Consider the following 17,848-nt stretch of genomic DNA (forward strand, 5'->3'; position numbering starts at 1 on the left):
GGGCTGTGGTTTAAACAAAATCTTGAGAATGTTTTTTGACCTTATACATTTGTGCTTTAGTATAACAAAATGATATAGACAAAGGTAACTTTTAATAGAACCAGTCACTACATTAAAAAAATGACAAATTCTTCTGCTTAGCTAAGCAACAGAGAAGGTAAAATACTAATTCAATTCATCAATTTAAGCAATACTCATTAAGAGCCAAGTATGTGCTCACTGAATAAGCTGCTAAGGTTTGGTGGTTACAGAGTGTGCGGTGAAATGATGTCTACATCACAGTCCAACATTCACAGAGTTTAAAAGCCTACCAAGAATCAAGACAGACACAAATACCTAACATAGACGTTTGTATATGATAAGAGAGCCAGAGTACAATTTAGGAGAAGAAATTGTATGGAAGGAAGGTTCATTTCCATTAGACCAGAAAAGACAGCACATTTGAAGGCCTGAATAAGAAATATTCTGGATAAGATATTGTGGCTGCTACCAGAATGGCTCTTGATGATCTCTACCTCTTGGTATTTATACCCTTATATAATCTCTTTCCTATAGTGTAAGCTGGTCCCAGGTACTTGTTTCTATTGAATAGAATAGAACAAAAGAAATGAGATGCCACTTCTGAGATTAGTTTATAAGATACTGTGAATTTCATCTTGTGCCCTCTCCCTCTCTCTCTTTCTCTTGCCCTCTCATTTGAATGAAGCCAACTGGCATGCTGTCAGTGGCACAGTGTAAGTCCTGTTACAAGAAATTGACGATTACCTGTAGCCAACCCTAAGTGAAGAACTGAGGTCCTCAGTCCTACAAATGGAGAGAAACTGAATCTAGCTAAGAACCATGTGAGTGAGCTGGGAAGAAGATCCACCCTCAGTTGAAATTTAAGATGACATATTGAGCAGACATACTGAGACACACTGAAAGTAAGAGAGCAGGAGGAAACAAAACCAGGGTCATACAAAGAACACAACTGATTTTGAGATTCTCACATAAGTATTACACCTTCAGTGAGCACGTGTACTAGAAATTTAAAAAATAAATAAAATAAACCTTCAAAGTGAGCTAGCAAATAAATTTCCCTATGGTCTCAGCTCTGAGTGGAGAGAGAAAATGTTCCCTGTGGAGTTTATAGCCAGAATCCAGCTCTCAAACAGGTTTCAGCCTGAACTCACACAATCTGTGTGGCTTCCAAATTTGCAAGCTGAGAATTTAATTCAAAGTGGTCTCAGGTTGATAGCAGTCCAAAATGCTAGGTAGGAAAAAAAATCCTCTCTGGACAAATAAATCATCAAAGCAAGCTCATAAGAGCAGGTTTCAAAGGTCATGAGCTTCTAACACACACACACAAAAATCACACACACAAAATGGGGGTAGCAGCAACATGGGTAGCGTATTCAAACTTGAAAAGACTTTAAATATTTGTATTATTAGATGTAGATTATGAAACACATATTTTAATGTGGTTAATTTTTTTAAGGAATCACAACTATGAGTAAAGACCAAGAAAATTGTGCTGGATGGCCACTTCCACCATGGCTCCCCTCCTATTTAAGTCTGGGTACTGTGTCACCCGAAGTCTTCAGGCACATTGTTCCAGGTCTGGGTTTGCCTATGAAAGAAACTCATGAGAGCTGGAAATGAGGAGTGAAGAGGAGGTCTTCACATAAAGCAGGCTTAAGGATTAGACATAGCAGGTTTGACAGATGTGATGGCTTGCAGAATCCTTTATGAGCTCCCACTGTCCATCTGGATAAGATTTACAGACCTTTCAGAAATTCCTATAAGCTTGGGTTCTGTGCCCACACTCTAGACTGTCAGGCTAAGATCTCTGATATAAAACAGACCTCTTCTGATTTTGTCTAGCTGCTTTTCTAATATCTATTCACCAAGCTCTTCCAATAATAGCATAAGGCCCTAATTAATATTAAACTTTTATCATTATAATACATAGGATGTCTTCTGTTTTCCTGATCAAATTCTGACTACTATTAAAATATAAAGAATTGTCCAGAAATATATAAAAAAAGAATCACACATTGATCTTCTTTAAATGAAAATATAACAATTGTATGGACTAGGATGATTACAGTTGTTCAGTTCTGACTGTTATTTGAAGAAAAAAGCAATAAGAAGCCTCAGCAACTTAACAGAAGGAGCTGCCATTTACTAGGAGAAAAGATTGTGGATGAGAGTGTAGCAAAGGTCAGAATTCTGTGAAGCTTGAGATGTTTATTATAATGAATTATCTTTTATACTCACTACAATTTCCTAACAATTTTGGGGTTTATATTTTTGAAAGAGATATACCTTTAATTTTCTTTCTTTGTACTATTGTTAGGTAACTTTAATGTGCAGATTATACTACAGTGAAAGTTGCCAATGACAAGGCAAAGTCACTTACATCAGACCCAAAGCAAAGTGGAGCCGGGTCATGAAAAAGGGGATCTTGTGTGTCTGTCCACGATAAGCACTATCACAAGGACTTTCTATAAACTCACAAGAAATTTCTGCCCACCCAGCACACAGTTTGTCCAGCTCATCCTGTAGGTGTCTCTATAATAGGACCTATCATAAAAAATTCCTCAAGACTGCAGCATTTCAGATAAGCCACCCTCACAAGAACACTTGCCTAGCAATGGCTGTTTCTGCCAGTAAGTTAACACCAGCTCCTGCATCAGACCCTGTGACCAATGATGTTTGTTTCAAAACAGCTTGCATGGACTTCTTTTTGTCTTTACATATTTTCCTTACCTCAACCTCTTGGGATGCACCTATGATTGATCATAGCACAAATATCTCAGATTATAATCCTTGTTTATTTCCAAATAAATTTATTTCTTTGGAGATCCACTTTTTCTGTTATTATACATTGACATTGTTATTATGAAATTGGTTGGGTGATGTGTCTTATTTTCTTGTCTCCAGAAGAATTTCTGTAACAGTGCAATTAAACGTTCTTTGCATGTTTGCTAGAACTCACCTGTAAAATTGTCTGAGCAACCAAAGCCTGGTTTTTGTGTTTAGTTTTTCTTTTGTGATTGGGGAGGGGGGTTTATCGTACTGATTCAAGGTGTGAAGGTAACATCATTTTGATTTTATACATCTTCTTCAGTCCATTTAAGCATGTTACATAGCGTTGTTTGTTCTTTTCATGATATTCTTTACAGTAGTCTCCTAAATGTTCCCTCTGATTCTGCCATGAGCCCCTACAATCTATTTCAACTCAGAAGCTATAGAGTTTGTTTAAAACATGTAACATATTATGCCACCTTTCTTACTGTAAAACATCCCATGGTTTCTCATAGTATTTATAGTAAAAGTGAAATTTTTATGATGGCCTGAGAAACTTTTCCCATTAGATGCCCAAGTGCTGGTCTGGTCTGATCTTCTCATCTTCCCTTGGGTGATTCTGTGGCAGTCACACTAGCCTCCTTGCTGCTCCACAAAAACTCCAGCATGATCCTACTTCAGGATATTTGCCATTGTTACTGCATCTGCCTGGAACCTTTTCTCCCATATAAACATAGAGATTGCTCTTGCCTGTCCTTCAAGTCTATTCTTAAATGTCCCATTCTCTGTGAAGCTTTCCTGCCCACCCTATTTAAATTACAGACTTCACTCCCAATTCCCCATCTACTTTAAGAGTCTTCATTTATCATTCCTTGACAAACTGTAAATATACATGTTCACTTTTTTATCGTCTGTCTCCAAATACTGGAATGTTAAGTTCTGTAATGTCAGATATTTCTGTTTGGTTCACTGGTGTATTCTTAAAGCATGTTACATACTAGGTATACTCAATGAATATTTGTTGAATAAATATCACATTGGGCTTATTCCAGAAATTCAAGCTTGTTTCAATAGTTAGAGCAATCTACAAATGTAATTCATTACATTAACTAATTAAAGGAGCTAAATCACATCACCACCACAATAATGCAGAAAACCACATTTGATACAACTCAATATTCATGTCTGCCTAACAAACATCTCATGATACTAGGAAAAGAGGAAGGGATATATTATTTTCATGTATAAAGCACTAACCATTGTAGCATGCCAATATACTCAAAATTCAATGAAATTCCTATCAAAATCTTAGCATTCCTCTTAGTCCTCAACAAAGCATTTCTAAAATGTGTATAGAAGACCAAAGGGCCAAAAGAGTCAACTTCTGAAGAAGCGCAAAAAGAAAGTTGAGGAAATCTTAAAACATGTTATTGAGCTTAAAGTTGCAAAAATAAACTCATGTACCATAATTCATGAGTAGAAAAATAGACTAGTGGAATAACATAAAAATAAAAACAATGCTTACATAAAATGTTGTAACTGATTTGGATGTCATTAGAAATCAGTAAGTAAATAGATGGACAATGTAATGAAAGATGCTAGGCAAATAATGTGGTAGGGAGAATAATGGCCCTCAAAGATGCCCATGCCTAACCCTGGAACCTGTGAATATGTTACACTGAATGCAATAAAGGCTTATCAGATGTGATTAAGGATGCAAACCGAGATGGAGAGATCTTCCTGGGTTACCCAGATGGGCCCAGTCTAATCACATGAGTTCTTAAAAATGGAGAACCTTTCTTAGCTGAGTCCAGAGAGAGATGTGACAATGAAAGAATGGTCAGAGAAATGTGACATTGCCAGCTTTAAAAAGAGAGAGGAGAGGCAATGAGAAAAGGAATGCTGATGTTCTCTAGAAGATAGAAAAGGCCAGGATATGGATTCTACCCTAGCCACCATAAAGAAACATGCCTGTCGACAACTTGATTTTAGTTCACTAAAATTCATGCCTGATTTCTGACTTGTGTACACTGTAAGATGACAAGTTTGTGTTATTTTAGGTCACTTAGTTTGTAGAAATTTGTTACAGCAGTAATAGAACAAGTGGTTATCCATATGAGGCAAATTAGATTGGATACCTATCTCCAATAGAAATCAATTCAAGGTGAATTCCAGGAAAATACTTAAAACATTTAGATTAAAAATAAATGAGAATTTTTGTTACTTTTGGTAGGTCATAGAACCAAGAAAAACAAACATTAAGGAGGAAAAATGAACATATGACTACATCAAAATATAAAGCTTCTCTATTTGGAAGATATCATAAGGTGACAAATCATAAACTGTAATATTTACAACATATATATAAGTGAATAAATATACATTTAGAATATATATGAACTCCCAAAAATCAACAGGAAAAATAAGACATAGAACAAGCAAAATGCATAAACAAAAGAAGGCAAAACAAAAATAATGACTCATAATTATATGAAAAGAAGCTCATCTTCATAGATGAGCAGATAAATGCAAATTAAAACCACCCTGAGATGCTTTTTACATCCATGAGCCTGATAAAAGTTAGAGTCTAAAAGTAATAACAAAGATGGGAAGTAATAGAAAATCTTGTCCATTACTGGTTAAAGTATAAACTGATACAGCTACTTTATAGAATATTACATTATAGAATAAAGTTGTGAGTATGTATATGCAGTGACTCAGCATATTCATTGCTAGTATGTACTCAAGAGAAACTTACAGGAGTGGACTAGGAAGTAAATACAAAATGATTACAACATTGTTTGTTATATCAAAAAATAAAAAAGACACCCAATTTTCCAGCAAAAAAAATAAGTAAAAATAAATCCTGGTGTATTCTAACAATGGAATAATATATAGCCATTAAAATAAATCAACTATTACTGTACATATGAATGTAAATATCAGCAAAACATATTGTTTAGTGAAAAACTAAGAAGCTGAAGAAGAATATATACAATATGGTTACATTTATATGAAGTCCAAAAACTTGCAAAATAAAGAAATGTATTTAGAAATAGATTCACATGTGAGAAAACTAGAAGAAAATTAATGAAAGGATAAGAGGGATAGCAGTAATTCTGAGTAGTTGAGGGAATTTCAATTGGAAAAAAATAATATCATATTCTTTAAGTCAGGTAGTGGGTATTAGCATTTGTTTTACCATCGTTCTTTATTCTTATAGCTACACTATATATTTTCAATGTATTTAATGTATTTTTTGCATAATTAAATATTATGCAATAAAAATGAGAAAACAAAAAAGTAGAAAATGATAAATTACAATAAAGAAATGGAGAAAAAATTATAATCTAGTTGAGTAATGGTATATTACATAGCTATTTTCTTAAGTAGATGTATGTACATGATGTATGCACGATTGTACATACATGTTCTTAATTATATATAAATATATATGTACATATTTTTAATATAAAATACTAAACAAAGTACACCAAAATATTAGCTCCTATGTTAGTGAGATAATGTTTTGTTTTTTTGTATTTTAAGTTTTACATAGTAGGTGTATTTTTCTGTTTTCATACTGCTATAAAGAACTGCCCAAGACTGGGTAATTTATAAAGGAAAGAAGTTTAATTGGCTCACCGTTCAGCACAGCTTGGGAGGCCTCAGGAAATCTACAATCATGGCGGAAGACAAAGAGGAAGCAAGCCAGCTTCTTCGCAAGGCAGCATGAAGAAGTGCCGAGCAAAGGGGAAAGAATCCCTTATAAAACCATCAAATCTCGTGAGAACTCACTATCACAAGAACAGCACAGGGGAAACTGCCCCCATGATTCAATTACCTCCACCTGGTCTCTCCCTTGACCTGTGGGGATTATGGGGACTATGGGGATTACAATTCAAGATGAGATTCAGGTGGGGATACAAAGCCTAACCATATCAGTAGGCATGTATTGAATTTTAAACTCAGAGAAAAATACTAGTGTTTTTATAGGATTCTTACTAAAGAAAAACCAGAAAGTAATAAACCATCTACGCTAAGACATAAAATTCAGTTGTTTAGTTACAAGATAGAATGTGGCCTTGTAAGAAAGCAAATTAACTTCTAACATACAAAGCCTTAGAGAAGATTCAAGTGACTGACGGATCTTAAACAGAGCTATTATTACAACTCGAACTGCAGTAAAATATCCTCAGCAACATAGATGTGTGTGTTTCACTAGTCAGAGCAATACAAATTTAATGAAACTCCACTGGTGGTGTTTTTAATCAGACAATTTCTGAAGATGTCCTGGCTTATTCACAGATGCAAGCCAAATCTCTAGAAGAGTACCATAATAAGAAAAAAAAGAATACAGGCAATTGAGAGCTGTTCCAAAGTTTAGGGAGTTTTTGTAAGGAATTAATAAATAAAAATGTTCTTGAAAGACAGAAATTAATATGCAGTTCATACTGTCAGAATTGCAGGCAATTTATCAAAGTCCCCTAATCCTCCAAAATCGCTATTTTTTTTTTGACACACACTTTACAGTACAGAAGAAAATGTCTCCGGCAATAAATCACAAAGTTAAAATTACCTAGTCTACAATTAACTACACAGTGATGGTAAATCATTTTCTACCAAAAGAAAGAAATGTCTTGTCTATTCAGGTTCTGCTCTACTTAAAAGTTTTCCTTGTTGGCGAGCAAGTGGTTAGAAAATTATATTTTATACGTACATTCAGCTTAACTATCATTCAGCTCAGGAAGATGACTCAGGGCCTTATCCATACCTTCAAGTTTGCTCTTAGCAAGTAATTGTTTCAGTATCTATATCAAAAATGGCTTAAGCCTGCAACATGTTTCTGAATGATTAACAAGGTGATAGTCAGTTCTTCATTGAATCCTGGATGCTTTATTTTTCTTAATAAGAGGAATTCATATGGATCAGCTAGAAAAAAATTAAGAGGAAAATCACATGGAAAGTTATATATTATATATCTATTATATATAATATATATCTATTACATATTATATATTGTATATCTATTACATATATATTATATATGTATTATATATATTATATATTATATATGTATTATATATATTATATATTATATATCTATTATATATATAATATTATATATTATATATCATTTCCAAATTCCCCAGCGTTCATATTTGTCAGTGCAAGTAAAGAGCCTTACTGCTGATGAGGTTTGAGGTATGACCATTTGGCCAGAATTTATGAACTCTACATGTCGCTTGATGTGTGCCTCAGGGTATACTTTTTTTTTTTTTTTGAGACGGAGTCTTGCTCTGTCGCCCAGGCTGGAGTGCAGCGGTGCGATCTCAGCTCACCGCAAGCTCCGTCTCCCGGGTTCACGCCATTCTCCTGCCTGAGCCTCCTGAGTAGCTGGGACTACAGGCGCCCGCCACTATGCCCTGCTAATTTTTTGTATTTTTAGTACAGACGGGGTTTCACCGTGTTAGCCAGGATGGTCTCGATCTCCTGACCTCGTGATCCACCCGCCTCGGCCTCCCAAAGTGCTGGAATTACAGGTGTGAGCCACCACGCCCGGCCAGGGTACACTTTTAAGCAGAGACACTACTTTGAAGGTCATAAAAAATATAATAAGAGATAAGGCTAATTTCCTTTAATAATAATAAAATCCTTTAATAAAAATATAAAGGAATAATATAATAATTTTCTTTAATAAAATATAATAAGAGATAAGGCTAATTTCCTTTAATAAAATATAGTAACTACATACCAACAGAATTCCAAAAAAAGAAATGGAGAGGAAGGGAGCATGGGTCATTAATCTTGTCAAAAATATAAAATTATATACGAGGAATTCCTAGAAACTGTTTTCCTTGTCTGCGGCCATTGTGCTGCTGCTACACAACTACCGCAAGCAGCCCTTCACGCCCTCCTCCCAGTACAAAGCTAATTGACTTGTGAGAAATGTTAAGCTTGGAAGAGTCAGCATCACTGCACTTATTTTTTATTCTACTCTGACATTAGAATAATCCTTGAGTGGGGGAAAGGTTAAAAACCCCCCTGGATAAGTGTTACTAATTAATGATGATTGTTTTAAACAATGTTTGGATAATTTTTCCTTGTCCCTTGACATAAACTTGATAAATAACTGAGAAGTGAGAAGGAGATTAGTGGGTTGATTAAATTCCATTCAGGTACTTAAAGTTAGCTCCAAAAATTTAGCTATTTGTAAATTGTCATGCATTGTTAATGTATAAGAGATGTAGATTTCATTTATCTTTGGTGGAGCGAGATGAAGCAGTGAATCATTGAAGACTGAAAGAAAGAAAAAGGTCTTTTCCCTTTTCTTTAAGAAGCATCATTAGTTAAAAACATGTTAGTTGATACCAGAGAACTATATTTAAAGGGACAGCAATAAGCAAATTGATTACTCTGGTGATTATTGGAGTGACATTGCCTTTTAGTTGTACTTTCACAAAAATTCACAATATTTGCCAAAGTCAAGTTATCCATTACACTATTAATTTGTCATTCTTTTGTTTATATAGTCAATATCTCTATCTCAATTGGATCTATCTCAACTGCTTCTAAACAAGCCACCATAGTCTCTCCCATTTCAACAATCTCTTCCAAGTACCACTTCATTTCTTCTTTTCATATTTTTGAAAACTTTTGAAAAACTACCTATTTTCCTCCTCCATTTCTTGTTCATTCCATTCTAGTGGACATGGAATCTGTTCCTCCTCCAAAACGGAATTTGGTAACCCTTAAATTACTAAACCCAAAACAATATGTTGTCTTTATCTTTACCTCTCTGTGGCATTTAATGATAAGACCACTACTTTCTTCTCTTTTACCCTTCTTTCTTGAATTCAGTCAGACAACGTACTTACATTTTTCGTCTTATTCTCCATCTTAGAAACCACCTCAGCTTTCTCCATTCAGCTATAAAATTGTGCTTTTCCTCAAAGATTAATCTGCCTCTCCTCTCACTCTATACTATCTCTGTTAGCTAATTTTATTTGTGCACATTGCTTATACTGGGCATTATATACACATATGCATGTGTGTACATGTGCACACACACACTGTATGTGGACATGTATATATATATATGTGTGTGTGTATATATATAGTATATATATAAATTACAATAACATAAAGGTGGCATTTTAAATTAGTGGAAATTACCCTGATTTGATCACTACACATTCTATACATGTAAAGAAAATATCACTCTGTATCCCAAGAATATGTACAATTATGGTTTGTCAAATGAAAAAGTTCATACATTGAAAAATTTTAGATAAATATCAAACTTTCTCTGAAACTGTAACTGTAAAATGTAAAAAACAGTAATTGCTATATTGCTTATTTCTGAGTAGAAGAATATGAGACATTTCCCTAATCATTATGTGTAATTACAATTACATATATATATGTAATTGTAATTACACATAATGATTAGGGAAATGTCTCATATTCTATATATATAGACAGAAAGAGAGAAAATATATGAGGGAGAGAAGGAATCTTTCCATCTCCTTTGAGTTCCACGGTGTTGAGAGTCAGGACAACTGCAATTGCTTCATCATGCCTGCTTGCAATTATAGGGCTTTTGAACCATTTGTTCCCTCCTTAGATATCCTCATTTTTTTCAGATTCTTGCTTAGAAGTCACTCCTCCGTGGACCTCCTCTGACATATTAAACATTGCAGTCCATTATAAGCTGCAAGAGGACAGGGATTTTTGCCTGTTTTATTCCCTACTGTATCACCAGGGGCTAGAGCAATATCTGACAAACAGTGGGCATGTAATGAATATTTGTTAAGTGAAGTAATAAATTCAATCAAATCACATCACCTGTTTAAAGCACTTCATTGGCTTCACATTGCACTTAGAATAAAGAGAAATTCTTTTTATACAATATACAATATATTTTATACAATATAAGTTCCTGCAGAATGCAGACACTTTCTACTTCTCCAGCCTCTTTTCGACTCCTCTCCTACTAGCTTCTGTATTTAAGCCATATTAGACCTTTCTTCAGTTTTTTATATAGACTTTGTCGCATCACACCTCAGAGATTCTGTACATGTTCTTCCTCCTGCCTAGAAAGGATCGTCCCTCCACTTTTGCCAACTAATCCCTGCTCAACTTTTCATCTCAGCAGGAGGCCCATTCTCTTTGGCAATCCTCTGGCCTCCAGCCCATTTATTATATGCTCACATGTCAACATGTACTTCGTACAGCATGTAACACAATTGCACTTTTATATTTTAACAAATTATATTTCCCATATTGAACTGTAAGTCTCCTGAAAGCAGGAATTTTGTTCTTGCTCATCATCAACTTTTTCAACATCCAGTGCACCATTTAGAACTTAGATGTAGTCAATACAGGTTTGTGGAATGAAAGAGGAAAAGAAAGAATTAATATTCCTTTAAATTAGGATGGCAAAGATCGTATATAGAAAATTGGCTAAGTTGTGGTCCATTCATGTTTGCTCCCAATTAAGGAGCACAGCTATGAAAAGGAAGGCTTCAAATTAATAACCAATAGATTTTTTTAAAAAGAAAACTGGCCAGGTACTGTGGCTTATGTCTGTAATATCAGCATGTTGGGAGGCCAAGGCAGGATTACTTGAGCCCAGAAATTCCAGACCAGCCTGAGAATTTGGCAAAACTCTGTCTCTACAAAAAATACAAAAATTAGCCAAGTTTGGTGGCATGTGCCTGTAGTACCAGCTACTTGGGAGGCTGAGGTGGAAGAATAGCTTGAGTCTGGGAGGTCAAGGCTGCAATGAGCTGTGATTGCACCACTGCACTCAAGCCTGGGTGGTAGAGTAAGACCCTGTCTCAAAAAAAAAAAAAAAAAAAGAAAAATCACTAAGCAAAATAAGACATGTGAAGGATCATGTCAAAGGAAAGAAAAATTAGGGGAACATTAAAAGCTTTCTTCCCAAGCCACTAAATCAACTTGACTAACAAAATTACCACTTGATTTAGTATTAGAAAATTACATTACATATCAAACATAAACCCATTAATCAAATACTAAAGAAATTTCTGAGTTAAATGGTATAATGTTAGCTTATGCCAGAGCTGACCTTGAAAGATTGTTCAAATATGGCTCAGTGTGATTGAAAGTTCTGTGTGAATATGTTTTTGGAAAGATCCAACAGCAACACCTTAGTGTATGTTTTTGAAATAAAATATATCTGAGTAGCAGCAAAGTTATTCTCAAATTTCCATTTTATAGCTGGAGATGTTATACCGTGACGTACATGATAGGACCCAATATGGATCAATCCCTTTTAGAAGTCAATCAGGAAGAGGGGAGCAGTTAAAACAGTTGCTTGGTTTACAAACATTAGAACAATTTTCTTATTCACACCATCTGATTATTGTATGTTATTTTTTCCCCAACGTTTAGACTACACAATGAGTTAAGAATGATAAAAATAAGCTCACCAATATACTATGTACATATTTACCAAAATCTGTGCATGCTTATACATATAAACACAGCTGATAATTTATTAGTTAGGCTCATTTGTAATTTTTGTCACTATAGACCAGTTTTTTATTTAAATTGAAGATTAGTATACATTTTAAATGATTAGTCAAAATAAAAAATCTAAAATGTGCTCTAAATACCTCTTAGGTCAGAAAAAAAAAGTCAAAAGCTAGAGTATAGAGAAATTAAGAAACGCCCTAAATTTCTAATCTGACAAAAATTCATACAAGATTTAAATATTTTAATGGAAAATAGAACAGAACTAATTATTGAAGAAATTATAGAAAGGAAACAAAATAAACAGATTATATGGAGGATTTTTAGAAGATAAGTAAATAAATTAATATACTAGGAAAAAACAAGGGAAATATACTTGATAAATAAATACAGGTAAGAGTTCTTTTGAAATAATGATAAAATAGAAAATCTCTGTCAAAACTAAAAGGAAAGATGCATAAATATATAAATAAACGATAAAAAATGTTGCATACATATATGACTTTTTCAGAATCAAAAAATTTAAATTTCTGTAATAAAATTTAAATGTTTATAAATTTAAAAAACTAGAAGAAAGAATGTTGACTGTTCACAATACAAATAAATGACAACTATTTGAGGTGATGGATACGCTAATTATCCTTATTTGATCACTGGGCATTGTATACATGTATCAAAATATCACTCTGTATCCCATGAATATGTACAATTATTTGTCTCAAAAACAAACAAAAAAAAGATAATGGGAGAATGTTGAAAACTCAGAGAGAAGAGCAACTCTCACAGATAGGGATCCAGATAACATTAGCAGCTGATTTCTCAGCAGAAACCTTGAAGGCCAGTAGGCAGTGGATTATATATTTAAAATAATGAAGAAACCTGTCAATTGAGAAATATATAGCTGGAAAACTTATCCTTCAAAAATGAAGGAGAAATTAAGACATTTCCGGATTTTTTTTTAAAACTGAAAAAAATCCATTTATCCCTGAATTTGACATTCAGGAAGTGTTAAGTCCTTCAGGTTGAAATAAATGAACTCTAGGCAATAACTATATAAGTAAATAAGCAAGCTGTATGAATATACAAAGCTCTCTGGTAAAGGTAAATACATAAACAAACATAAAAACAGTCCTATTGTAATTTTGGTTTGTAACTCTGCTTTTTATTTTCTACATAATTTAAAAGGCAAATGCATAAAATGTAATTGTAAATCTGTTAGCTGGTATACAATGAATAAAGATATAATTTGTCACATCAATAACATAAAAAGAGTAGAGCTATATATATAGCAGTAGAATTTTGGTATGTGATTGAACTTAAGTTGAAATAAATTCAAATTAAAATGTTATAACTCTAGGATGTTATATGTAATTCTCATAGTAACCAAAAATGAAATATACATAGAATATAAACAAAAGGAAATGAGACTAGAAACAAAATGTGTCACTACAAAAAAATCAACTAAAGATAAAAAAGAAATAATTGAGAAAATGATTGGCAAAAATCAGTAACTCTGACGTATTAAAACTTTCCATGCTACATAAATCTGAAAACTCTATTTCACATAAAACTGGAGCTGAAAGAAACAAATATTTACCTATAAAGTTAAAAGTTATATAGGGAACAAACACTAATTTTTTTTAGAAAAAATTATAAAAAGAGTAAAAATATGCCTTATACTACCGTAATTTCATGTTTTACAGCTCTGGGAAAATAGAAAATAAAATGTTCTGTTAGCATGAATCCCTCTGTGCCCCCAAAAAACCCTATGGATTGCATCATTATTACCTAAAAAGTCTATTCTCAAATGCAGCAGAGTGATATTTTTTACAAGGTAGATATTAATTTTAGATATGGAATAATATTGGTGATTTCAATTTTATAACACTGGGTTAAGATGAAAGAATGAGAAGATAAAGGTCCCTCAGCAATATAACTCACAAACATGTTCAGAAGCAGTAAGAAGTTACATTAATTATCTTTTGAAAGTCGATAATCTACATCTTTAATGTATGCATATAGCATAGCTAATGTACTATCCCTGGGTCCATTTATTCAATGAATAATTGCCGCTATGTGTCAGACATTTTTCTAGGCCTAGGAATGGATACATAAGTGAACAAAGCAAAGATTCTGGTTCTTGTAGAGTTTCCATTAAAAGACAATTTAGTAAAACTTTTCTTCCCCCAAATTATAAAATCTGTAAGATGATTTAACAACATGTGTAAAAGTCATTGTGGGCCAGGCACGGTGGCTCATACCAGGTGTGGTGACTCATAGCACTCTGTCACCCAGGATGGAGTGCAGTGGCACAATCTCTGCTCACTGCAACCTCTGCCTCCTGGGTACAAGCGATTCTCCTGCCTCAGCTTTCTGAGTAGCAAGGACTACAGGTGCACACCATCACGCCTGGCTAATTTTTGTACTATTAGTACAGACGGAGTTTCACCATGTTGGCCAGGCTGGTCTCGAACTCCTGACCTCAAATGATCCATCTACCTCGGCCTCCCAAAGTGCTGGAATTACAGATGTGAGCCACAATGCCCGGCCTTATTTTCTACAACTTTGGTAACTTTAGCATATACCCCAAATCTGTAAGACATAATATTATAATTCAAATGCAACTCATGGCTTCTCTTTGTACTCTTTCTCTAGCTTTTGAATTATTTATTCTAATACCAGTTTTAATTCTGACACAAAATCATGGGAGTTCTAATCAAAATCCAACCTTTTATCATAAAAACTATGAAGAAATTATGAGTAGAATTTAAAAAGGAAAATAGGCCTATTAATTAGATTTGTCTTTGTAGCATTTAACTCTATAATAAATAATATTTTATGCCTATGAGTCCCCAACAAAGCCTCCAGCTTCTATTTAGATATAAACTGTAAAAGTCACTACTGGATCCACAAGCAAGACTATGGTAAATAAATTTCTCCACCTAACCAGCTTCTTTTACATGATGTTACATGTTTCTTTTGTTTTTTCATTTTGGCAAATATTGATTGTCATCTTCGTGTTTGTCTATGTCCTAAGTGCTGGGATACAGAATCTGAAAAGATGGACACAGGACCTGCCTTCAAGTTCACCCCCTTTTTTTTTTTTTTTTGAGATGCAGTTTTGCTCTTGTCACCCAGGCTGGAGTGTACTGGTGAGATCTCTGCTCACTGCAACCTCCACCTTCAGGGTTCAAGTGATTCTCCTGCCTCAGCCTCCCAAGTAGCTGTGATTACAGGTCCCAGCCACCACGCCTAGCTAATTTTTGTATTTTTAGTAGAGACAGCGTTTCATCATGCTGGTCAGGCTGGTCTCGAACTCCTAACCTCAGGTAGTCGACCCACCTCGGCCTCCCACAGTGCTGAGATTACAGGCATGAGCCACCACGCCCTGCTAGGAGTTCACGCTTTAGTTGGGGAAAATATACAATAAGCAAGCCAGTTTTTAAAATGAGAACTGCAATTAGAGTTAAATGCTACAAAGACAAACTCACAGGAAGATGGGATGTAGAATGATAAGGCTCTCAGAATAGTAAGAGAAACTATTGCTTCTTACGATGTTTGTCTTTCTTTGTATCGGTGCTCAGCTGAGTCTGCAGTGCTTCAGAGGCAGCTTTCATTTTATAAAAATCTATGATTTCTCCTTCCAGTTTTTTTTTCTCTTCCTCGAGCTTCCTTATCTCCTCCTGTTGAATCATTTTAAGATGCTCGAACTTGTCCTGCAGCTGTGAAACCAATGTGCAGTTGTGACACCAAAGCAGTGTGGCTGAACACCTAAAAGAATACGCTTTTTTTCTGATTATCAAACAAACCCAAATCATCACAGTAGACCACGATCTTAATAACAATCTCAAAAACTCAGGAGTAAACACTCAGATATGGAATTTTTCTTTTCTTTCTTTTTTCCTTTTATAAGATGGAGTCTCACTCTGTTGCCCAGGCTGGAGTGCACTGGTGCGATCTCAGCTCACTGCAACCTCCATCTCCCAGTTCAAGTGATTCTCCTGCCTCAGCCTCTTGAGTAGCTGGGACTATAGGCATGCACCACCACTACAGGCGTGTGCCACCACACCTGGCTAATTTTTGTATTTTTAGTAGAGATGGGGTTTTGCCATGATGGCCAGGCTGGTCTCGAACTCCTGACCTCAGGTGATCCTCCCGCTTTGGCCTCCCAAAGACTTTTTTTTTTTTTTTAATATAGAGACAAGTTCTCAGTACGTTGCCCAGGCTGGTCTCAAACTCCTGAGCTCAAGTGATCCTCCCACCTCAGCTTCCCAAAGTGCTGGGACTGACTGGATGCAGTGGCTCATGCTTGTAAACTCAGCACTTTGGGAGGCCAAGGTGGGAGGATCGCTTGAGCCCAGGAGTTCAAGACCAGACTGGGTGATATAACACAATAGTCAACTTCAACAGGAGAGAGAATCTGTAAACTTGAATATAGATCTTCCGAAATTATCCAGTCAGTGGACAGAGAAAAAAAGAATAAAAGAGAGAAAAGAAGGCTGGGTGTGGTGGCTCAAGCCTGTAATCCCAACACTTTGGGAGGCCGAGGCAGGCAGATTAAGAGGTCAGGAGTTCAAGACCAGCCTGTCCAACATGACAAAGCCCCATCTCTACTAAAAATACAAAAATTAGCCGGGTGTGGTGGCACACACCTGTAGTCCCAGCTACTTGGGAGGCTGAGGCAGGAGAATCGCTTGAACCCAGGAAGCGGAGGTTGGAGTGCAATGTGAGCCGAGACCACACATTACACTCCAGCCTGGGTGACAGAGCATGACTCTGTCTCAAAAAGAAAAAAAAAAGAGACAGAGAAAAGAAAGCCAACAAGACACCATTAAGCAAACCATTGTCAGGTTATGGGAGTTTGAGAAGGAAAGTAGAGAAAGGAGAATAAAGCTTATTTAAAGAATGGCTGACAACTGCCTAAATCATGGGAAAGATTTAGACATCTAAATCCATGAAGCTTAAAGATTCCTAAAGAGGTTCAAACCAAATAGATACTCACCAAGTCACAATATAATCAAATAGTCAAAAGTTAAAGAAACTTTGCAGGTCAGGACAGAATCGAATAATACATTCAAAGTGCTGAAAGAAAAAAACTGCCAGCAACTAATACTATGTCTGACAAAGCTGTCCTTCAGAAAGGAAAAAGAAATAATGTGTTTCCTCGACAAACAAAGCTGAGGGCATTCAGGACCACTAGGTCTACCTTAAAAAAATGCTTAACGGAGTTTTTCAAGTAAAAATGAATGAAGTTGGGAGCGGTGGCTCATGCCTGTAATCCCATTTTGGGAGGCTGAGGTGGGTGGATCACCTGAGGTCGGGAGGTCAAGACCAGCCTGGCCAACATGGCAAAACCCCACCTCCAGTAAAAATACAAAAAATTAGCCAGGTATGAAGGCCACTGAGATCGTGCCACTGCACTCCAGCCTGGGTGACAAGAGTCAAACTACATTTCAAAAACAAAAAACAAAACAAACAAAAAAAACAAAACTTGAGGCCTGGCCTTCTGCTCCTCTCCAACCTCCCCTTCTCTGGGCCCAAGCCACCTTGGCTGAGG

At 35.3% G+C, this 17,848-nt stretch overlaps 1 long non-coding RNA gene and 1 pseudogene across 1 annotated transcript in view; both read right to left on the minus strand.

The window, feature by feature from the left end:
* Positions 1-7,638: 7,638 nt before the first annotated feature.
* LOC124900384 (uncharacterized) overlaps positions 7,639-17,848 on the minus strand; it is a 54,398-nt gene continuing 44,188 nt past the window's right edge. The window contains exon 6 of the long non-coding RNA XR_001737579.3: positions 7,639-7,722. This is a non-coding gene — a long non-coding RNA (uncharacterized LOC124900384). The remainder of the gene's footprint in view (positions 7,723-17,848) is intronic.
* On the minus strand, positions 13,432-16,015 carry SEPTIN14P18 (septin 14 pseudogene 18; annotated as a pseudogene).

Source organism: Homo sapiens, chromosome 1, assembly GCF_000001405.40.
Source record: "Homo sapiens chromosome 1, GRCh38.p14 Primary Assembly".
Lineage (NCBI taxonomy): Eukaryota > Metazoa > Chordata > Mammalia > Primates > Hominidae > Homo > Homo sapiens.